Source organism: Homo sapiens, chromosome 20 (genome assembly GCF_000001405.40).
Source record: "Homo sapiens chromosome 20, GRCh38.p14 Primary Assembly".
Lineage (NCBI taxonomy): Eukaryota > Metazoa > Chordata > Mammalia > Primates > Hominidae > Homo > Homo sapiens.
In genome coordinates, this window is record NC_000020.11 from 29,387,948 (window position 1) to 29,412,507 (window position 24,560).

Sequence of the window (24,560 nt, forward strand, 5' to 3'; positions counted from 1 at the left end):
TCCCTTTACTTTCCCCCCTGCTTTTCTCAAACAGAAGAAGTCTTTAACCATAGCTACCACAGCTAGAAATGCACTGGGTCTCACCTGAAGTTAGCACTTCTCAGAGCCCAATGCCCATGGTGTATTACCTGGTTGTCACTGTTTTTTATTCTGGGTACAGGGGTTCTTTAGTCAGCAGGTGATGAATTCTGCCAGGTCTTTACTGACATGGCAGCACTGAGTTTAATGTAAAGTCCTCTAGTCCCCCAAATTCACAGGTTTCTCTGTGTTGTGTGGTTGCTGCTGGGTGGGGGGTGGGGGAGTGGTGTTGTGAGCACTCCCTTAGCTACTTCAGCTGCTGTCTCAGTAGACCCCATACTCCCCACCCTCCACATTCTACTGGCTCTGAGCCCAGCTAGGAGTATGACTTGCCTAATAATTGAAGTCCTTGTGGCCTAGACTGCCCCTTCATTTCTCCTAGAGTCCAATAGCACGTCAACACATGATGGCAAGACTTGTAAAAACTCAAGCTCCCAACACCAGGATGGGAGATTTTCCTCTTGCTAGTGCCAATACAAATGCTCCCTCCATTGGCAGATGTCAGCTGAGTACAGTCTGGTTCTGCTTTTCACTGTGACGGCGTAGTACTGAGTTTATTGCAAAGCCTCACAAACTATGCTCTTCCTCTCCCAAACATACTATCTCTGCACCATGTAGCCACTACTTGTGGTTGAAAAAGAGGTGGCATCCGTGTTTCTAGACCATCTTTTTTTTTTTTTTTTGTCTTCTCCAATGTCTCTTTCAGTGATACGAATTTAATACCAGGTACTGTGATTGCTCACCCAATTTTTGGTCCCTTTGACAGTGCTCCTTGAATGTAGTGAGTTGTGAAAATTTGGTGTTTTTGTGTGGGCGACGAGAGTGTAGGCTTCTATTCTGCCCTCTTACTCTGTCTCTGTCTTAAATTTTTTAGATTCAGGGAGTACATTTGCACGTTTGTTACATGGATATATTGTGTGATGCTGAGCTAGCTGGGATATTATTGATCCCATCACCAAGGTAGTGAGCATATATTGTGGAATATAATTGATCCCATCACCTAAGCAGTAAGCATAGCACCCATAGTTTCTCACCCTCTGCCCTCCTCCTTCTCTCCTTCATCTAGTAGTTCTCAGTGTCTATTGTTGTCATCTTTCTATTCATGAGTACCCCATGTTTAGATTCTACTTATAGGCAAGAACGTGTGGTATTTGGTTTTCTGTTCCTGTATTAATTTCCTTAGGATAATGGCCTCCAGACGATGCATGTTGCTGCACAGGACATGACTGTATTCTTTTTAATGTGTGCATAGTATTTTATGGTGTATATGTGGCACATATTTCTATCCAATTTATTGATTCATACATAAGTTAATTCCATGCCTTCCCTATTGTGAATAGCAATATGACGAATATACAAGAGCGTGTGGGGTCTCTTTTTGTAGAATTTTTAATTTTCTTTTGGATATATACTCAGTAATGGAATTGCTGGTTGAATGGTACTTCTGTTTTAAATTCTTTGAAAAATCTCCAAACTGCTTTTCACAGTGGCTGAACTAATTTACATTCTTACCAATAGTGTATAAGCATTTCATTTTCTCTGAAGTCTAGCCAGAATTTGTTATTTTTTACTTATTAATAGTAGCCATTCTGACTAATATGAGATGGTATCTCACATTGATTTGCACTTCTCTGATGATTAGTGATGTTGAACATTAAGAAAACAACCCATTAAAACATTGACAAGGTACATAAGAAGACACTTCTCAAAAGAAGACGAGCTGGGCACAGTGGATCACGCCTGTAATCGCAGCACTTTGGGAGGCCGGGGTGGGTGGATCACAAGGTCAGGAGATCGAGACCATCCTGGCTAACACGGTGAAACCCCGTCTCTACAAACAATACAAAAAATTAGTCAGACGTGGTGGCGGGCGCCTGTAGTCCCAGCTACTCAGGAGGCTGAGGCAGGAGAATAGCGTGAATCGGGGAGGCAGAGCTTGCAGTGAGCCAAGATCGCACCACTGCACTCCAGCCTGGGTGACAGAGCGAGATTCCGTCTCAAAAAAAAAAAAAAAAAAAGATATAGAAGTGGGATTCTTATTCTATCACAATAAGCTGCCTTTCCTTTGCAAATACAAAATCAAACCATTTGAAAAATCACTTTAATTGTAGGGTTTGACGGTATGTTTCCCCTTCTCTATCTCCTTTCCTCTTTTGTGATTTTTTTTTTTCTGATCACTATGAATCCACTCAGCAGATTAACTTCCATTCTTAATCTGTGTGAATTGTGCTGATGAGATAGTCAGCTCTCTTAAAATCGCTAACAAAAAAGTTTTAAATTTCCTAGCTAGTAATACATTTTTAGCATGCCACAGGATACTCTTAGAGTAAGGACTTCTGGTCCAGGCATTATGGATTATGATGATTAGTTCTCTGGATTTCTATAAGCTTTGAAATTAAGAGGTAAAAGATCTAACATAAATTGGACTTCATACTATTTATACATTTATTTGGTTTGTTAATTATTCCATAGGAAAACAGATGAAAGACTTCTGTAGAATTCAATTCTGTTTCACTATATTTAGGGTTACAAGAAGGGAATTATATTGATGTGATTGACAGACTGAATTAACCTCAGTCATCACATGTAATTTTTCTAGAGTTTTTTCATGGTACTGACATTCTTTTCAGTATGTCAATGCCTAGCTTGGGTTTCTTGGGGAGAGATGAATAGCTAGTACTACCCATCTAAAACATAATGTTCATTAGTTGGAATAATGGTGTGATATGATAGTCTTCAATATGTCCATGACTAGCTTGGGTTTCTGGGGGAGACATGAGTAGCTAGTACTACCCATCTAAAACATAATGTTCATTAGCTGGAATAATGGTGTGATATGATAGTCTTCAAGATGATGCCCTCAATTTCTTTCCTCCCTGCATGCACATGCTGCTCTTTACCTTGACAGGTAGAGTCTACTCTCCTATTTCTTGAATCTGTGCTGGTCACAATGACTTGCTTTACCAATAGGATGCAGCAGAGGTCATATTCTAGGACCTCCAAGGCCAGGTCATAAGAAGCTTTGTAGTATTTGCCTGTGTGTCTTGGAACAAACTACCACGTTCTGAGGACTCCAGGTAACATGGAGAGGACAGATAGACATCACACTCAGCAGCCAATATGCACTGCCAGCCATGTGAGTGACCTGTCTAGGCTCTTTAGCCTAGCTGAGCTTTCAGGTGACTTCAGCAGCAGCCAACCAACCGCAACTGCAAGAAGGACTCCAAAAGAGAACTTTTGTAGTGCCCGTCAACCCACAAAACCATGAGAAATAACGTTATTTAAAATTACTAAACAAATAATAACAATAAACAATATTAAACCATAAATAATTCCTTAAGTTTTGGAATGGCTTACTATTCAGCAAGAGATAGCTAGAACAAGTACTAAATATTGCACAATACTGAACAAGTGTAAGTTTAGTTGTATAATATACTTCTATATTTTAAAGCCATTGACATTTCTGATAAGGGTGTAAAAGTGAGCACTGATTAAATGGTTCCCAAGAGAAGTTGCCTGTTGTATCTCAATATCATCATTTACCAATGGGAGCTGTATTTAGTTTTTGGAAAATATACATTTTAATGTTCATTTTAAAAAATATACTAACAATTGTTTAGAAAGGCATATGCTATTTTGAAAAACATTTGAGTGAACCAGAAAAGTGTAAACTTTAAGGCTCTAATCATATTTGTATGCTATTTAACCCACAAATCCAAAGTCTGATGGCAAATATGTTTGTGTAATACTGATATTTGGATAAATAAGTTAAACTAACAGTTTTCTTTTTAAATGATAGGCCTTATAATTGGTATGATGTTGAGATGGCTGCAGTGGATGGGCTCATCACCATAATAATGTTTTCTCTTTAATACTTTTTTAGAACATTAAGTGACAACCAGAGAGTCTAAAACTGGGTTACACAGCAGTAATAAAATCAGAGTGACACTTACTTTGCAGCAGCAGGACTGGAATTCTTGCTATTGGGGTTGGTGGCAGCAAACTCAATTATGGGTGTCTTCTGCTTCATGCTTAGAAGGTGTGTTGGAATATTTCCTGTTTAGAACTTTCTAACACTTCCTGACTAGAGCTGTTTAAAATAGAAACAAACCCCTCTGATTTTGAATTTAGCCTATTTATTGTTATAATTTGTTCATATGTTTCTACTTTTTAGACTGTGGCTTTCTTGTAGACAGAAGTTATATCTTATACCTCTTTTTCTTCAGCAGCGGTGTGCCTGGCACCTAGCTGAATTGTCAGGTTCATTGAATAAGTAAAGTAAAATTATACTACAAGTAAACTATTAAATTTATCAATTTTACTCAGAAAATATATAGCTAAGTATGACATTTGAATCAATTCACTCATTTATTCAACAAACATTTTTTAAGTGACTACAGCATGCTATGAGCTAGGAATATGGCAGTAAACAAATCTCACCTTGTCTCAAACTTCAGTGGATCCGGGATTCTCTAGAAGTTTAATTCTTGCTCAATCAGCAATTCCTTTTCACTGAAGACTTGACAAGAAGGTTTGAGAAGGCAAGAGTGTGTGAACTCAGCAGATGTTAGTGATTCACCTACTGTGTGCCAGCTGTAGTGTCGTAGGGTCAGCCTGTGTCTTCTAGGAAAGGTGAAAACTAAGGACAATATTTTAAACAACAAATAATGCCAAGTATGCCACGTGATGGAGAAGGAAAGCGCTGAGTCCCAAGAGTATAACAGGCACTGAGCCTCGCGTGGGGTCCAGGCCTCTCTGGCATGGTGCCCTCCTAGGTCGTGGTTGTCCTTTCTTATTGCTCCTGCTGTCTTCTTCAGTTACATCTGCTTCTCTGCATTTCCTCATTTTACCGTATGTGGGATGCAGTCATCTCTGGACAGGAATAGGCAACTGTGCACCTGTTATGCCGTGCTTGATGCTCTGCATTGATGTACACTGGGCCCAGTTTTCCCTGGTGGACTGCTTGGGCTGTTCTTGTCTTCTGGCTCTGAAGACTTTGTTCACAGAGGTGCACTTGCCAGACGGGGGAGCCAGAGATCTGGGGTCCTCTGATGAGGCCACTCTCACCCTGCTTATCTTCCCTGACATAACCAACAGACGAAGCTCAGGTGGGCGATGCACCTCAGGCCACAGTGTGGACTGTTGTAACCAAGCGAGTTATAGAGGAACACCACACTTTGAGACAAATTAAGGAGTCCTTTATTAGCCGGCGACCGAGAGGCAGCTAACGCTCAAAATTCTCTCGGCCCCGAGGAAGGGGCTGGTTTTCTTTTATACCGTGGTCTAAATAGGCGAGGGGGGAGTTTGGCTGAAGCAATTTTTACAGAAGCAGAGCTGGCAAAAAGTTAAAAAATTAATTGGTTACAAAAGCAGTTGCAATAAAATAAACAGTTCTAGGTGCAGGGGCTTAAACTATCACAAAGAGAGAAATGCAGGGGTTTTGGGTGCCATTCACCGAGTGAGTCCCCAGGAGCTGCTGGTGCAGCTTGCCTCAATATCTTATCAGTAAGTGATTCCTGGAAGTGCTTTGAGTCAGTTTACACTAGTTATGCCCTTAAGGGAGGGACGTAAAGGGGGCTGCACGTGAAGAAACTAAAATGGAGTCTGTCCAGCTCTCTGCTAGGAGAAAGTCACTCAGGTTAAAATAAGTTAGGGTATCACTGGACCATGTAGAATTCTTCAAGCTCCAGCTTCAACTCTCTTTCTTATTGCTGTCTTAGGACAGTATATTTAGATGGGAGTAAATGAAAGTAATGTTATTAGGGGATAAGATTAAAATTGATCCCATTTGTAAAAAAGGAAGTAGATTATTTGTGAACTGTAATACTTTATTTTAGTGAAGAATCACCTTAAAACTTGAACCTGAGTACAAGATAATTCCTTCATTCCGCAAATGTTTAGTAGCAAACTATATGCCAGGACTGTGCTAGGTACTAGGGATATATGGTTGAACATATAGTATAAGATGCCTTGGAGCATCAGATAGTTTCACATAAATGGTCTCATACAGTATATAGACCGTGTGGTAAAAAGAGACTACTGAGATGCACAGAGGACAGAAAATAAAGGGTCTTTGAATGGCGTATAAATGTGTTTGGACTTTTCACTCAGGGCTGTTGAAGTTTTGGAAGGTCAGTGGTCTCAGAGTTTTGGTGTTTTCAAGCACTGCTAAATACTTTGTTTCTAGCTGATGATTGGCCACCATTACTGATCATCTATTTGCTCTGTCTGATTCAGCAATCCCACCACTGGGTATCTATGCAAAGGAAAAGAAATCAATGTATCAGAAAGATAACTACTTATATATTTGTTGCAACACTAATCACAGTAGCACAGGTATAAAATCAACCTAAATGTCCATCAACAAATGATTGGATAAAGAAAATGTAGAAAATATACAAAATGAAATACTATTCAGGCACAAAAAATAGAATCATAACTTTTGCAGACACATGGATGGAACTGGAGGCCATTGTTGTAAGTGAAGCAAGCCAGACACAGAGTAAACATCGTATTTTATCACTCATAAGCGGGTGCTAAAAGATGTGTAGGTATTGATGTAGAGAGTGGAATGATAATGGAGACTCAGCAGGGTGAGGGGATAGAAGGGGTGAATAGTGAGAAATTACTTAATGGGTACAATGTGCATTATTCTGGTGATGGATACCCTAAAAGCCCTGACTCTCTACTATGCCATCCATGCTTACAGCAAAATTGCACTTAGAACCCATAAATTTATACACAAAAAGTCTTAGACCTCTCTCTCTTCTCTCATAAGCCTCAGAGCTCAGTGATCCCCTTGGATCTCCTCAGCCTGCTGAGTTGTGATTTTCCTACCTAAGGTGATTTTGGGCAGAGACAAGGGAGTGTTTCAGGAAGATGTTCTCAGGCACACGCTTCTGCAGAAGCATTGGAGGCTCTTCTAGTGGCCTTTATCTAGTCACTGCTTTAAGCAAGGAATAAAACATCTGTGGCTAAAATTTAAAAAACTGTGTTTTCCACCCACCCTTCAGACCTGACAGAAGATATTTTAGGATTTTAAGGGAACAGCTTTTTCCTGACCCAAAAGGGCACAGTAGTGCAAAGGCTAATGTCACGTAAGTACTTTTTCCCCATCTTTAAAATAACTTTCAGATACTATTCCCACAGTTGGAATCAGTACAATGTTTTGACTGAGGTATTGGAAAAGCCTATGAGCTCATTATCATTTGAACGTATGAGTAATGTAAAATTTAGGCAGAATTTTATTTGAAAGGATTATTTATGCAATTTTAAATTAACTGATTTATATTGTGGTTATTTCAAACAATAAAAATCAGGTTGTTGTGTTGTGAGCTAGAAATATTTACAATAACACATGATCTTGATTATCTCACATGATGAATTGAAGATTAAAGCTAAATAATTTATCTTAGGGAATTCTGTGACAGTTTTGTTTCACTTTGCTTAATAATGACTTCAAACTGTTGTACATATATAGAGAACTCCTGACTGAAGAGAATTTTTTTGACTATTGTGCTATGTTTCTGTAACTTTTTAAGATCTAGAGGAACATATATTTAGTCTCAGTTGGCCAACTAAATGTTATGGAGTCAGCTTCTGTGTTATGTTCTGAGCATTGAAGGAACGGTGGAGACAAGGCTGCTGCCCTCGCAGAGTCTGTGGAGAAAACCTGATGGAGTGTGGCAGCGAACATGCTGGGAGCATCCCAGGATGACAAAAGTGCACACAGATGGAACATCTGCCTTAGAACAGGGGAGGGTCAGACAAGGAGAGGTGTCAGGAAAAACAAGGAAAGTTTAATCTGCAGGAATAGAAACACACTTGGGAAATCCATGGGGACTGAAAAGAGAATGGCTGAGCAGCAGCAGATTGTCAAAAAGGAAATCAAGAAGGAGCAGCCTAAGAGGTTGATAGAGAACCAGGAGAAAGAATGTGACACTGAAGCCAAGGGAAGGAAAGTGTTTCAACATTTCTGGGAAAAAAATGACATGCTCTGTCTTAACCTTGCTGTTTTATGAGTCATATAGCCACATTCCAGGTTCTGAGAAGTCCAGCACTAAAGATGTTTCTTTTAGTTTGCTTAACCCAGCATTTGCCAGAATAATCTGGGCTCAGTGTGAGTGTGTGTGCGTGTGTGTGCCTGTGTGTTCCACTAATATCTCACTGGGGCTAATGCTCTATACAACATAATTTTTAAAACACTGGTTTTATCCATCTTATGTTCAGCTGCAGCAATACTTACAAAGGTCAACTTTGATCACGTGTCTTAGTTACTAAAGAAAACAAAACAAACTAATGAATAAAGCCCACCTGACAGTGGATCCTCACTACCTGTACGATGGAGCCCACCTGGCTTGGCCTGGGTGCCCTGTGCTGACCTGGTCTTGCTGCCCTCTGCCTGCTGCTTTGCCGCCACTTTCCTCCTGGAGAAGGTAGAGATGCTCTGAGCTTTGGCCTGTCTGGAACATGTGTCCTTCTCCTAACGCGGACCATGTTTTCCCGAGTGCACTTTAATCTCTTTTAAGGGTATAGAACTTTCCTTAAAGCTTTTGGTCAGGTCTCCCTCTCTATGCAGTCTTCCGGCCACTTCTACAATGTACATACTTTACTGATACATTAATTATGCTATACCAGCCCAGGACTTTACTTATGTATCATTTTATATCACCATCTTTTTTTCTTAGAGCTTAGTTCACTTATTTATTCAGTCTTTCCACAATATAATTGTATGTCATATAATTTTATATTTATTTTCATTGGTATTTATAAGTCTTTTCTGTAAAAATAGAAGCTAAGTAGATCTTCATTAATGTTGAAAGAACAAGGTTTTAAGTCTTGGTCTCAGCCAAAAGCAGTTCCCTGCATATCCAGGAGGGAAAGAATCACTTGCATTGTTGCATTAGATATTCTTACAGAGAAAGAGAACCACGTGTAATGGAAAATTGCTAACTTTGCCTCAGGGAGACCAGGTTGATTCACTGAGAAAGTTTGAATTGGTTTAGAAAGCATAGTTCTGAGTTTTCTAGGAGAAGTAGAAAAGTTAGAGTAGGGCATAAGAAGTAATCCCCATATCAAAAAGTTAGAAAGATCTCAAATTAACAACCTAACATCACAACTGAAAGAATTAGAGAAGCAAGAAGAACTCAACCACAAAGCTTATAGAAGATAAGAAATAACTAAAATCAGAGCTGAATTGAAAGAAATTGAGACAAGAAAGCGTTCAAAAGATCACTTAATCAAGGTTTTTGAAAAAAATTAGTAAGATAGATAGGCACTAGCTAGACTAATAAAGAAGAAAAGAGAGAAGATTCAAGGAAACACAATTAGAAATGCTGAAGGGAATGTTACCACTGACCCCAGAGAAATAAAAATAACAACCAGCAACTACTATGAACACCTCTGCACACACAAACTAGAAACTCTAGAAGAGATGAATAAATTCCTGGACATCTACACTCTCTCAAGACTGAACCAGGAAGAAATTCAGTCTCTGAACAGACCAACTGTGAGCTCCAAAAATTCAATCCGTAATAAATAGCCTACCAACCTCCCAAAAAAGCCCAGGACCTGATAGATTAACAAATTTTAACAGATGTACAAAGAAGAGCCAGTACCAGTCCTACTAAAATTATTTCAAGAAATAGAGGAGAAGGGACTCTTCCCCAACTTGTTCTATGAGGCCAGCATCATCCTGATACCAAAGCCTGGCAGTGACACAACAAAAAAAGAAAGCTTCAGACCAGTATCCTTGATGAACATCCATTCAATAATCCACAACAAAATACTTGCAAACTGAATCTAGCAACACATCAAAAGACTAATTCACCATAGTGAAGTAAGCTTCTTCCCTGGAATGGAAGGTTGGTCCATCATGGGCAAATCAATAAGATGTGATTCATAACATAAATAAAACTAAAGATAAGAACCATGTGATTGTCTCAACAGATGCAGAGAAGGCTTTCAGTAAAATTCAACAAATCTTCATTTTAAAAATTCTCAATAAACGAGGTATCAAAGGAGCATACCTCAAAATAATAAAGGCCACCTATGACAAACTCACATCCAACATTATACTAAATGGGCAAAATCTGGAAGCATTCTCCTTGAAACCCGCACAAGACAAGGATGCCCTCTCTCATCACTCCTATTCAACATAGTATTAGAAGTCCTTTCTGGAGCAATCAGACAAGAGAAAGAAATAAAGGTATTTAAATAGAAAGAGAAGTCCAACTACCTCTGTTTGCAGACAATATAATTATCTATCTAAACCCTATAGTTGTGACCCAAAAGCTCCTTAAGCTGATAAACAACTTCCACAAAGTTTCAGGATACAAAATCAATGTACAAAATTTGCTAGCATTCCTATACACCAAGAAGAGCCAAATTAAAAGTCAAATCAGAGAGGCAATTTTAATCACAATTTCCACAAAAAGAATAAAATACGTACAAATACACCTAACCAGGGAGGTGAAAAATCTCTACAATGAAAATTATAAAACACTGCTCAAAGAAGTCAGAGAAGACACAAACAAATGAAAAATCATTCCATGTTAATAGAAAGAAAGAAGTAATATCATTTAAATGGTCATACTGCCCAAAGCTATTCCTATTAAACTACCAATGACATGCTTCACAGAAGTAGATAAAGCTATTTAAAAATTCATATAGAACCAAGAAAGAACCTAAGTAGCCAAGGCAATCCTAAGCAAAAAGAACAAAGCTTGAGGCATCACATTACCTGACTTTAAACTATACTACAGCACTATAGTAACCAAAACAGCATGGTACTAGTACAAAAACAGACACATACACCAATGGAACAGAATAGAGAGCTTAGAAATAAGACCACATAACTACAACTATCTAATCTTTGACAAAGCTGGCAAAAACAAGCAATGGGGAAAAGATGCCCTATTCAATAAATGGTGCTGTGATAACTGGCTAGCCATATGCAGAAGATTGAAGTTGGACTGCTTCCTTATACCATACACAAAAATCAACTCAAGATGGATTAAATACTTAAATGTAAAACCCAAAACTATAAAATCTCTGGAAGACAACATAGGCAATACCATCCTGGACATAGAAACAGGCAAAGATTTCATGATAAAGACACCAAAAACAACAAACGCAACTATTGACAAACGCAACTATTGACAAGTGAGATCTAATTAAACTTAAAATCTTCTGCTCAGCAAAAAAAATTATCAATAGAGTGAACAGACAACCTATAGAATGAGAAAAAATATTTACAAACTATGTATCTGACAAAGATCTAATATTCAATATAAGGAACTTAAATTTATAAGAGAAAAACAAACAACCTTATTAAAAAGTGGCCAAAGAATTGTCTATTCATGTCCTTAGCCTACTTTTTGATGGGATTGTTTGTTTTTTCTTGCTAATTTGTTTGAGCTCGTTGTAGATTCTGGATATTATTTCTTTGTCAGATATACAGATTGTGAAGATTTTCTCCCATTCTGTGGATTTTCTGTTAACTCTGCTGACTGTTCCTTTTGCCGTGAAAAAGCTCTTTAGTTTAATTAAATCCCACCTATTTATCTTTGTTTTTCTTGCATTTGCTGTTGGGTTCTTGGTCATGAAATCCTTGCTAAGCCAATGTCTAGAAGGGTGTTTTTGATGTCATCTTCTAGAATTTTTATACTTTCAGGTCCTAGATTTAAGTCCTTGATCCATCTTGAGTTGATTTTTGTATAAGGTGAGAGATAAAGATCAAGTTTCATTCCCCTACTTGTGGCTTGCCAATTATCCCAGCACCATTTGTTGGGTAGGGTGTTCTTTCCCCACTTTGTTTTTGTTTGCTTTGTCAAAGATCAGTTGGTTGTAAATATTTGGGTTAATTTCTGGGTTCTCCATTATGTTCCATTTGTCTACGTGCCTGTTTTTATACCAGAACCATGCTGTTTTGGTGACTATGGTCTTATGATACAGTTTGAAATCAGGTAATGTGATGCCTTCTGATTTGTTCTTTTTGTTTAGTATTGCTTTGGCTATGTGGGCTCTTTTTTGTTCCATATGAATTTTAGGACTGTTTTTTCTAGTTCTGTGAAGAATGATGATGGTTTTTTGATGGCAATTGCATTGAATTTGTAGATTGCTTTTGGCAGTATGGTCATAGACAATTCTCAGAAGATATACAAATGGCCAACAAACATATGAAAATATGCTCAACATTACTAATGATCAGGGAAATGCAAATTACAACCACAATGTGATACCACCTTATTCTCTCAAGAATGGTCATAATAAAAAAAAAATAGATGTTGGTGTGAATGTAGTGAAAAGGAAACACTTCTACACTGCTGGTTGGAATGTAAACTAGTACAATCACTATGGACAGCAGTGTGGAGATTCCTTAAAGAACTAAAAGTAGAAGTACTATTTGACCCACCAATCCCACTACTGGCTATGTACCCAGAGGAAAAAAAAAGTCATTATCCAAAAAAGATACCTTCACACATATATTTATAGCAGCACAATTTGCAATTGCAAAAATATAGAACCAATCCAAATGCCCATCAATCAATGAGTGGATGAAGAAATCATGGTATATATGCACAATGGAATACTACTCAGCCATAAAGAGGAAATGAATTAATGGCAGTTGCAGCAACCTGGATGGGATTGAAGACTATTATTCTAAGTGAAGTAACTCAGGAATGGAGAACCAAACATCATATATTCTCACTTATAATTGGGAGCTAAGCTATAAGGATTCAAAACCTTAAGAATGACACAATAGACTTTGGGGACTCAGGGAGAAATGGGAGAACGGTGTGAGTGATAAAAGGCTACAAATTGGGTTCAGTGTATTCAGATGAGGTGGTGGATGCACCAAAATCTTACAAATCTATAAAGAACTTACTAATGTAACCAAATGCCACCTGTTGTCCTAAAACCTATGGAAATAAAAAAATGTTTAAAAAGTGGGCAAAGGACATGAACACTTTTCAAAAGAATACATACATGTGACCAACAACCATAGAATACAAAGCTCAATATCACTGATCATTAGAGAAATGCAAATCCAAGGCACAGTGAGACACCATCTCACACTAGTCAGAATGGCTATTATGAAAAAGTAAAAAAATAACAGATGCTGGCAAGGTTGTGGAGAAAGAGAACACACACACAGTTGGTGGGAGTGTACATTGGTCCCACCATTGTGGAAAGCACAACAGTGTTCTCCTCGAAAGATATAAAAGCAGAACTATCACTTGACCCAGCAATCTCATTACTGGGTATATACCCAGAGGTGTATAAATTGTTCTATCATAAAGACACAAGAACATAAATGTTGCAGCACTATTCACAATAGTAAAGACACGGAATCAACCTAAATGCCCAATGACAGATTGGATACAGATAATATGGCACATTGTGCAGGAAAATTTAAATATTAAACTTGATCTCTATTGAACAGGGACAGAAACAATGGTCACTAAGTCCTGGAACGAGTTGTGTGAGCCCCTTGAGGCATTCATCCAGTGTTGTTATTATTGTAGTTTTTATTATTGTATATTTTTGTATTTTTTTATTATTGTATTTTTATTGTATTGTATTTAGTATTGTAGTTGTTATTATTGTATTATTAAGTAGTTATTGAAAAACAACAGACAATGGCAAAAACAAGTTGACTTTTTGTATTCCTTGAGCCCAGTCACGAAGGGCCTTCAGGACTGGGCCTCATGACAAACAACTTGTTACAAAAAGAGCTCGGTTCCCAGACCACGCTGAAGGTTCATGGGACCTCTCCTCGTCTGTGCATGGACTGCTGGCCAACTCTGGAGCCCAGGCTGTTGCTTCCTGGTCTGGTGATGAATCCTCCATAGTCTGGCGAGTGTAAAACAAAAATATATATATATATGTGTGTGTGTGTATATATATATATATATATATATATATATATACACACATATATATACACATACATACGTATATATACACACATATATGTATATACATATATACGTATATATGTACATATATAGATATATGTACATAGATATATGTACATATATCGATATATGTACATATATACGTATATATGTACATATACGTATATATGTACATATATAGATATATGTACATATATACGTATATGTACATATACATATATATGCAAATATACGTATATATATTACATATATATACACATATATACGTATATATATTACATATATATACACACACACATATATATACACATTTTCCCTTCTCCCCTTCCCATTACAATTTGTTTATTGTATCATTTGCTTATTATATCTATATTGCCATATACTTGGGATAAAGTCTGTTTACCCTTAAAAGTATTGTGTGTTTCTTTTCTTCTTTCCTCACACATTTCCCACACAGAACACACATAAGCACCATGGAATACTATGCAGTTATGTGTTCACACTTATAGGTGGGAGCTAAATAATGAGAACTTATGAACACAAAGAAGGAAACAACAGACAACAGACACTGGGGTCTACTTGAGGGGGGAAGGTGGGAAGAGGGAAAGGAACAGAAAAGATAACTATGGGGTATTGGGCTTAATACCTGGGTTATGAAATAATCTGTATAACAAGCCCCTGTGATACGAGTTTGTCTATGTAACAAACCTTCACCTGTTCCCCCGAGCCTAAAATAAAAAATTTTTTAATCCTTTATGAAAGCTATAAGATCTGCTCCTGTGTGTTTGTATGTCTATATGTGTTACATGTATGTGATAATATTTTGTAAAAGCTCATTCTTAAATCATTAGTAAAATAGAAATGGCTTTATAATTATCCATTAAAAATAATTAGATATTTGCTTGATTTAACTGTGAGCTTATATCTTCCGTTGAGAGTTTCTGGATTCAGGGGGTCTTGATAGGTGACCATGATGAAGTACGGAGACACGTTCTCAGTGCCTAGATCAGCAGCTAAAAGCCAGAATCAAGCCCAAATCGGCCCCTTCTTTCCATGCTTTCCCTGTTTTGCCTTCTGGCTATTTTAGAAGGGGTTGGATCCTCCAGGTATAGTCTTCACAGCTCTGTCTTTAGTCCTAATGGACTCAGGCAGGCCCTGATCTTCACAGTTTTCCTGGGTGCCATGTGGCTACTTGGGACCTAAAATTACTGAGGGAAGACATTATGGATGCTACCTGTGTCATGGTTTCAAAATTCTGTTCAGTAATTTAAAATCTTAAATTCACATTAAATTAAGTAATAGCCGTAAAATATCTTGAGTCATTTGTAAGCTAAAATAGTGAAATATTAACCATTAAAAATTAGTTTAGTTCTATATACCATGACATGTTACTTGAATATGGTACAGAAAACCTAAATATCTTTAGTTCTGTTAATAAACAGTAATTTGAAGAATTATATTTCTTAAAAGTTGTAAAATGGTTTTTATCTAAAAATACTGACATAAGACAGTTGAGAAATCACTTTGTAGGGGTTTCATTGAATATTGGGACTCCTAAGACTTAATTACTAGATACGAGAGAAACAATTCTGCATACAGAGTGTATAAAAAGCAAGATATGCCTTATTTTTCTTTTTTGAGACTGAGTCTTGTTCTGTTGCCCAGGCTGGTATGCAGTGGCATGATCTCAGCTCACTACAACCTCTGCCTCCCCGGTTCAAGTGATTCACCTGCCTCAGCCTCCCAAGTAGCTGGGATTACAGGTGCTCTCCACCACACCCAGCTAATTTTTGTATTTTTAGTAGAGACAGAGTTTCACCATGTTGACCAGGCTGGTCTTGAACCCCTGACCTCAAGTGATGCACCTGCCCTGGCCTCCCAAATTGTTGGGACTATAGGATTGTGAAAATATGTTTTTGATGATAAAACTTATAAATCCATAAAACTGTGTTTTAATTTTTTTTTGGTTTGAAGTTACTTAAAGGTTTCAAATTGAAGAAGTAAAAAAACTAGATAAAACTAGATAAATATAGAAAGTTGGGGGAAAATGCAAAGCATAGGTTCACAAAAATCTGGGATTAAAAGATAACAAAATTTGATAAATGCATTTATAAAGTTTTATTAAATTAGCTTTAGAGGCCAGGCGCTGTGGCTCATGCCTATAAATAATAAAATTTTCTTGTCAATTGTATCTGACTATGACAACTTAAAGTGATTTCTACAGTAAATTGCTTAATTCTGAGGCAGTTTCTGAAAACTTTACAAGCTTGCAAAATCCTGGAATATTGTATCCTTAAGGAGGTTCATGAAAGGATGGAGAAGGCCCTGAGAAGCACTCTTGAATACAGGTTTTTGAGAACTTTAGAATGATATTATTTGAACTGGGTAAGAATTCCCAGAACTTTAATGAAGAGACTAACTGGTTAATACAACTGCTAACCCAAGCAGAATAAAAATCAATTGAATACCAAGAAAACACTTTGCCAGATTTTCATGCCAAATCAGCTAGTACTTAAATTGTCTAGATAAAGAATTTGAATGAACGGCATAGTCCAAGTCAAATTATCTATGATAATCCCTGATTAGTCAGTGCTATGCACCTAAGTTGAAGAAAGAGTCCAATGTTAAGCATGGAGAACCAGAATGTCTTCCTTGTCCTTCCTGAGTTCTGAAAGCTTTTCTTATTAAAAGTTCTGAATTCTGATTCTTGGGTGTGAGAGTAAAGCAAGATGGCAGAAAGAAGGCTCCACTGATTGTCCCTCCTGCAAGGACACCAGATGAACAACTATTAATATCCACATAGAAAATACATTCATAGGAACCAAAGATCAGATGAGTACTCAAAGTACCTGGTTTTAACCTGAGATCACTGAAAGAGGCACTGAAGAGACAGAAAAAACAGTCCTGAAATCACCGTTTCCTCATCCCCAGCAGTGATGGCATGCTGCAGAGATCAACTCTGGGTTCTGCGGGAGGGAGACACAGCAATTGTGAGGCACTGCACCCAGTGCTGTCCTGTTAGAGCTGAAAGGAAAACCAGACCAAGTGCAGTTAATGCCCATCTACAGAGGGATCAATTAAACCAGCCCCAGCCAGAGGAGAATCAGATTCCAGTGGTTGGAACTTCAGTGTTTGGAAACCTGGCAACTAAGGGCTCCCGCACTCTGTGTGTCTAAGAAAACTTGAAAGGCAGCCTAGGCCATCAGGACTGCAACTCTTAGGTGAGGCCTAGGGCTGAACCGGGCCCAGAGACAGTGGACTTGGTGGGGAGGGCATGCAACATACTGAGACACCAGCTGGGGCAGCCAAAGGACTTCTGGCATTATCATTCCACTAACACCAGATTGCACAGCTCATGGCTCCAAAAGGGACCTCATCCTTCTGCTTGAGGAGAGGAGGGAAAAGAATAGGGAGTATTTGTCTTTCATCCTGGACACAAGCTCAGCCACAGCAAGATAGTGCACTGGTCAGAATCCTGCAACCTCCTTTCCAGTCTCTGGCTCCTAGATATTCCTAGACACACCCTGGGCCAGAAGGAAACCTGCTGCCTTGAAGAAAAGGACCATGTGCTGGCAGGATTTATTGCCTGCAAACTTGAAAATCTTTGGGCTCTGAATAACCAGCAGCCATACCCAGGTACTACATCAAGGGCCTTGGATGACTCTCATAGACTTGTTAGATTTAGGTGAACTCAGCACATTACCAGCTCTGGTGGCTAAAAGGCAAAACTCCTTCTTCTTGGGAAAAGTAGAGGGAAAATTAAAGTGGACTTTGTCTTGCCCCTTAGGTACCAGCAAGGCCAGAGGTGGGTAGAGCACCAAGCGAACTTTTGGAATCCCTGATTCTAGGACTTGATTCTTGGTTGGCATTTATGAAGCTCCCCAGGGCCAGTAGGGATCCCATTGTCCTGAAAACGCAAGTCCCAGGCCAGGCAGCATTCATCACAAGCTGACAAGAGGCTTTGGGCCTTAAGGGAACATTGGTGGTAGCCTGGCAGTACTCATTGTGGCCTGAGGTGGTGGTGGCTACCCTGCCTTTAGGAAAGGAAGGGAGGAATAGGAAGGACTATGTCTTGTGGTTTGAGTGCCAGATCAGCTGCAAGGCAATAGAATGTCAAGTGGACTTCTAAAATTTTTGACTCTACTCCCTGACTTCTGAGTGGCACTTCTGGACCCAGCCAGGGACTGAGGGCACTCACTGCCCTAAAGGAAAGAACACAGGCCTGGATGGCTTTGCCACCTGCTAATTATAGAGACCAAAGGCCTTGAGTGAACATAGGCAGTCGTCAGAAAGTGCATGCAGCAGGACTTGAGCAAGACCCGGTGCTGTGCTAACTTCAGGTCTGATCCAGGGCAGTCATAGTGCTGGTGGCCAGGGATGCTTGTGTCTTTCTTCTCCCAGCTTTAGGTGGCTTAGAACAGAGAGAAAGACTCTGTATCTTTGAGAGAAAATAACGGTAGAGAACAAGAGTCTCTGGCTAGTAATCCAGAAAATTCTCCTGGATCTTGTTGAAGGCTGTCAAGGTGGTACTTCTCTGAGTCTGGAAGACTCAGAGAAGGTACCCATAAAGCAGATATGGCTTAGATCACAACACCCAAGTCTTTTCAAATATGTGAAAAGTCTTCCCAAGAAAGACAGCTACAAATAAGCCCAGACAATGGAGACTACAATAAATACTCACCTTTTCTCTTTTTTAATTTTATTTTTTAAACCTCTCATATGGTGCTGCATGCCCAAGATTTTAATGTCCAGACACTGAAGAACATCTACTAGCATCAACACCATCCAGGAAAACATGACCTCACCAAGCGTACTAAATAAGGCACCAGGGACAAATAATGGAGAAAAAGAGATATGTGACCTTTCAGACAGATAATTTAAAATAGCTGTATTTAAAAAAAAATTGAAAGAACTTTAAGATAACAAAGTAAAGAAATTCCAAATTTTATCAGCTAAACTCAACAAAGAGACTGAAATAGTTACAACAAATTAAGCAGAAATTCTGGAGCTGAAAAATGCAATTGGCATGCTGAAGAATGCATTGGAGCCATTTAATAGCAGAATGGATCAAGCAGAAGAAATAGTGAGCTTGAAGACAGACTATTTGAAAATACATAGTCAGAAGAGAAAAAGAAAAAGAATAAAAACAACAAATCATGCCTACAGGATCTAGAAAAATAGCCTCACAAAGACAGATCTAAGAGTTATTGGTTTTAAAGAAGATGTAGAGAAAGAGGCAGGGGTAGAAAAATTTATTCAAAGGGATAATGACAAAAAACTTTGCAAACCTAGAGAAAGATATCCATATCCAACTACAAAAATGTTATAGGACATTAAGCAGATTTAACCCAAAAAAGACTACTTCAAAGCATTCAATAGATCTTCCAAAAGTCAAAGATAAAGAAAAGTTCTAAAGGAAGAAAGAGAAAGGAAACAAGTAACATACCGGTGAGCTCCAACACATCTGGCAGCAGACTTTACAGTGGAAAGCCTACCGGCCGGGAGAGAGAAACAATAAACATTTAAAGTACTAAAGGAAAAAAACTTTCACCTTAGAATAGCATATACAGTGAAAATGTTCTTCAAATAAAAAGAAGAAATACTGACTTTTCCAGACAAACAAAAGCTGAAGTATTTTATGAATACCATGTCTGTCCTAAAGGAATGCTAAAGAGAGTACTTCAATCAGGAAGAAAAGGACATTAATGAGCAATAAATGATCACCTAAAGGTAAAAAAAAATCCTCACTGCTAATAGGATACAAAACAAAACAGAATATTGTAACACTATAGCTGTGTGGTGTGCAAACTACTCTTATTCAAAGTAGGAATACTAAATAATATCCAATCAAAAGTAATAACTACAACAACATTTCAAGACATAGCACAATAAAATATAAATAGAAACAACAAACAGTTAAAAAGTGAAGGGATGAGCACACCTGTCCTGAGCCGGCCGATGTGGTGGAAGCTCGGAGCTCGGGAGCCGGGGAAGCCCTGGAGCGTGGGCGGAAGGGAGGCAGCCTGGAGAGCCAGAAGCCTGGGCAAGGGACGGAGGCCTCCGGCGCCCCCCAGCAACAGCAGGGCTGCGCCACATTGGTCCTGCGCCAGGCCTGGCCCCCGGCGACGGCGGGACGCTCAGGGAGGCCGGCGGAAAGCGCAGCTCGGCGACTGGTGGTGTTTGGGCTGAGACGGGGAGAGCAGCCAGGCCACCCGCAAGCGGCTGCAGGGTGCCTGATCCCAGCCTCGTGGCCCCGGGTTGGTTATGACGCCTTGAATCAGGCGCGCGTAGCTGGACCGGGCTCTTGTCTACTGCCATTGTCTACGGCCATACCACTCTGAACACGAGAGAAACCCAAGCGGCGGCCCGTGGCACGCTCGGCGCCACTGCTCCCGCCACAGGGACAGGCGCACTCCACAACTTTTAGGGCCCACAGCACCAAGAGGACAGGGAGAAGCCAACAAAGGAATGACGCTAGGAAACGCACCCCCAAAGCCACCAACCAATCCAAGTAAAAACACGTTTCAGGGTTCCGCTGGTTTTCCCGCTTGGGCGGCCCTGCCCCCCTGTTCCAGCCCGGCCCAGGCACCCTCCACCCTACCCTGGCCAAAGGGTCCCCTGTATACCAGAGCAGAGCCTCCCTCTCCAAGGCTCTGTTGCTATCCCTCTCTAGCTCCCTCACCCTCTCCCTTTCTCTACTTCCCTCTCCACCTTGCCCGCTCTCTCTCTCTCTCTCTCTCTCTCTCTCTCGATCGCTGTTTCTCTCTCTCCATCCCTCTGTCCCTTGCTCTTCTTCAAGCTGTCTGTGTCTTTGTGTGTCTGCGTGTATGCTTGTGTTCCCGCGCGTGCACCCGTGTGTGTCTGTGTGTTTGGGAGTGGGTTTGCTAGTGATTGTGGTGGGGCGTGTCTGGATGTCCGTCAGTACCTTTGTCACGGGATCAGGCTGCCGACTCTATTGCCAGCGCGTGGGTGTCACAGTTGCCGTGATAGTCTCACACATGCAGGTGTGTGGATCTCGTTCATTTTCATGTAGACAATGAGAGCGAAAGCACAGAGAAAAGAAACGTCAGGTGCATCACGGCCTGAGGATGGATTCCTGTTTCCTGCAAAATGCGGAGTCTCCCATATAGCCTGTTTGAAAACTGGAAAGGAGAGCACCGACACGATGCTGGTCTTCCACGCTTTCTTGGAAGTTTCTGGGTCCCCACAGAGCTCGGGAAACAGTCAACATGGTCACGCTTTCGGGGGGCGGCAGAGACTTGAGTAACAGGCACCTTTGCAGAGAGCAAAGAAACGTGGAATCCAGAATCACGCTTTACTTGGCCTGAGCGTGACTCCTGTGTGAATGGGACTATCCGCCTCGCGCTCTGTTGCAGGGCTCCACGTGGGGATATGTCATCTGTGAACCATGTGGATGAAAAACAGACAACCACCTGAGTCTCGGCTCATTGCTCTCTGGGGAATTCGCTCATTCCTTCGGAAACGGAATTGGTCTGAATCGCTCCGGGATGAAGTAACCCAGGCTGGCGATCCGGAGGGCCGCTGAGCGCCCCGCTGGCCAAAGGGGCTGTGGGCCCAGCACTTAGCCCGCACTGGGCACCCAACATTTTCCCGGAGTGCTGGGTCCTGTTGGTTCTGGACGCAGAAGACCGTTTTTCTCTCTGCCTTCCTTTAAAACTGTTTCTTGCTCCTTTTGTCCCTGGGTCCATCCTTCCCTCTGTTCTTCCCTCCCTCCCCTGGTTTTTTCCTCCCTTTCTCCCTCCCTCCCTCTTTCCCTTCCAGAGTCTCTCAGTCCATCCATCCTTTCCTAGCTCCATCCTTCCGTCCCACTCTGTCTCCGTTCCTGTCCTCATCTCTGCCTGCCTTGCCTCTTGCCTAGAAAGGGCAGCACCCCGGTTTGCAAGGGGTCTCGGGTCTTTAGTTACAAGGCGCTCCATGGTGCTGGCAAGGAGGCTGGCAGGACACGGGTTGGCAAGTGATTGTGAGCGAAGAGGCAGAGGAATCAAGCTGCAGAAAGGAGAACTGGCCTGGCTTCTGCCCCAACCCAGTGTTTCGCGGACCGAGGACTCCGCCAACCCGACTAAAGAACGCGCGGGGAACAGGGATGAGAGCTCCGCCTGGGCTGGTTAGAAAACCTAGGCTGCGGCCTGCAAACCCGCGCATGAGCAGTAGACAGTACACCTCCCGGTACCTGGACGGGCCCTGGGATCCCCGGGATACTCAGGAAAGAATGACAGCCCTCATCTGTGTGGAGTCACTCGCCAGACCTGGAACTCAGGTATCCTAGGCAGGTCAGCTGGAAGGGAAGATATGCCTCTCCATACCGAGCCAGAGGTTCACCGCGAAAGAGAGGCAGCCGCCCTGCCCCCGCCCCGTCCCGCCCCGCCCCAACCCCGGGTCCTAAAGCTCCTCCAGCAAGCCCGGTGTTCTTCCTGGCTGAGGAGTGGTTCAGCGGAGCGGGCTCTTCCACCTCCTTCAGCTCCCCAAGTGACACCGGATCTAGGAAAGTTTGTGCCTTTTGCTGAAACTCTGGGGTTGACAGGAGCTCATCTAACAGGCTGGAGGTGAGTGTAGACGAGCGCCCTGGCTCCTGGAACGGTTGGGAGGCGCCTTGATGGCTGGCATCTGTGCTTGACGCGGAGGCCTCCGGGGTCGCGAGCTTCGGAAGTGGAGGTGCCCCGTCTTCGGGTTCCCACGCCGCCCTGGCGACCTGGGGCTCCAGCCCCACCGCGGACTCTGGTGTGACATGGGTGGTGCAAGCACACCTTGCCCCTGTGACTCAGCTTGAGGGGGCCCAAGCTGTCCCACTGAGCACGCGCCCAGCAGGCCGTCGCGCTGCGGGTCCTGGTCCTCTTGGCATTTGTTGGGGTGCGGAGGCCTCCGAGTAGTCTCAGGGTGGGACAGTCCCACTTCCGGAGGAGCCAGGGCAGGGAACTCAAATTCCCGCGTGCCAGGGCAGGTTGGGAGAGTCCTTCTGCCTGCGAGGCCTGGCTGGGCTGGAGCAGGGGGACGGCCCTTGCTCCCTGGCTCACGAAAGCCCCCTGTGGGAGAGCCCCAGGCTCGCAGGGCATGTGGGGTGCGGGAAGCGCCGTTCCCCACGCCCCAGTGTGGGTGAACTCGATAGAGGAGGGAGCACGCTGACACCTGCCGGGGGCCGCGTTGCAAAAACCGCCTACGTCCGCGGGTGCCCTGCCACCCTGTCCCGGGTGCCTGGCCCTTCGATTCTGAAACCAGATGTGAATCCTGGACTCAAGGAGGCCCGTCTCTCTGGCCAGTTCTTCCCTGGTGGCGATGACCGGAAAGCGATCCTTCCCAAAGGCTCAGAGAAGCAGGGCGGTCTGGGATCGGGTGACGGCGGTCCGCTTTCGCCTGCCTTCTTGCGGGCCGCGTCTCCCGGGCCAGGGTCGAGATTCCGGCCGGTGCTGCCTCAGCTGGCGTGACCTCTCATTCTGAAACCAAATCTGGACCCTGGGCTCCGGAATGCCGATGGCCTGGGCCAGCCTTTCTCTGGTGGCGATGCCCGGGTATGGGTTCCGCTCAAAGCAGGCTCGCAGGGCCTCGCTTTGGCTCGGGGTCCAAAGGAGTCTCCTTCGCCGTCCTCGTCCTCGGGCTTCCGCGGGGAGGGTGCTGTCAGAAGGTGTCGGGAGAGCCATCGCCGGGAGAGCACCGGCCGGAATTTCACGGACGGACACGGGCAGAGAGAGGCCGGTGGGCTCCCGTGCACCTCAGCTGGCCTCTGCGCTGCAGGCAGGTCCAGCTCGGAGGCCGTTAGAAAGACCTACCACCTCCACCCCGTTATGAACATGCATGAGCTCGGGGCCCAAGGTCCCGGGGTAGCCCGCCCTCCAAAGCCGAAAACCACAGGGACCAGGGCCTTGTGGGGTGGGTGGGTGTAGGGCCAGATTAGAGGGGAAAAAGGGGCTTCGGGGGCTGGCTCTCTGGGTTCTCCAGTAATTCTATGGAAACTGGAAGCCGCTCTCTTGACTCCCACAGTTTTCAGGCAGAAACCACCCCGAAGGGTGGAGTGTGGAACTGAACTTCCATGACAGTCTTGAGTTTTCCAGGCCCTCTCCGTGAAGGCGGCAATGCCTGTGGGTGTCGCCGTTGCCCTGATAGTCTCACACACGCAGGGGTATGGATCTCGTTCATTTTCATGTAGAAAACGAGAGCGAAACTACAGAGAAAAACGTCCCGTGCATCACGGCCTGACCACAGATTCCTGTTTCCTGCAACAAGGGAAGTCTCCACTGTGGCCTGTTTGGAAACTGGAAAGGAGAGCGAAGACAGGATGCTGCTTTTCCACGCTTCGCTGGAGGTTTCTGGGTCCCCACAGAGCTCGGGAAACAAATAGTCAACATGGTCACGCTTTTGGGGGCCGGAGACATGTGAACAACAGGCCCCCTTGCAGAGGGCAAAGGAGTGGCCCTGAATGTGACTCCTGTGTGGACGGGACTATCCGCCTCGCGCTCTGTTGCAGGCTCAACGTGGGGCTATCTCATCTGTGAACCATGTGGATGAAAAACGGACAATCACCCGAGTCTCGGCTCACTGCTCTCTGGG

General features: G+C 42.5%; 1 long non-coding RNA gene and 1 pseudogene across 3 annotated transcripts, besides 1 other annotated feature; both read right to left on the reverse strand.

Annotated features, from left to right (window-relative positions):
• Positions 1-24,560: part of a centromere (Linear centromere model derived predominantly from reads generated in PMID: 17803354. This region does not represent an actual centromere sequence, as long-range ordering of repeats and unmapped WGS contigs is not provided by the model. For details of model production, see http://arxiv.org/abs/1307.0035.) that runs on past both edges of the window.
• On the reverse strand, positions 13,828-18,796 carry LOC105379476 (uncharacterized). 3 transcript variants are annotated; one of them, XR_951060.4, is made up of 3 exons: positions 18,682-18,796; positions 16,850-16,966; positions 13,828-13,935 (listed from the first exon to the last, which is right to left on the reverse strand). It is a non-coding gene; the product is annotated as an uncharacterized LOC105379476 (long non-coding RNA). The 3 variants fall into 3 exon arrangements; XR_951058.4 differs by having other exon boundaries at positions 16,601-16,966; XR_002958556.2 differs by lacking the exon at positions 13,828-13,935 and adding an exon at positions 16,123-16,762.
• On the reverse strand, positions 22,337-23,865 carry DUX4L34 (double homeobox 4 like 34 (pseudogene); annotated as a pseudogene).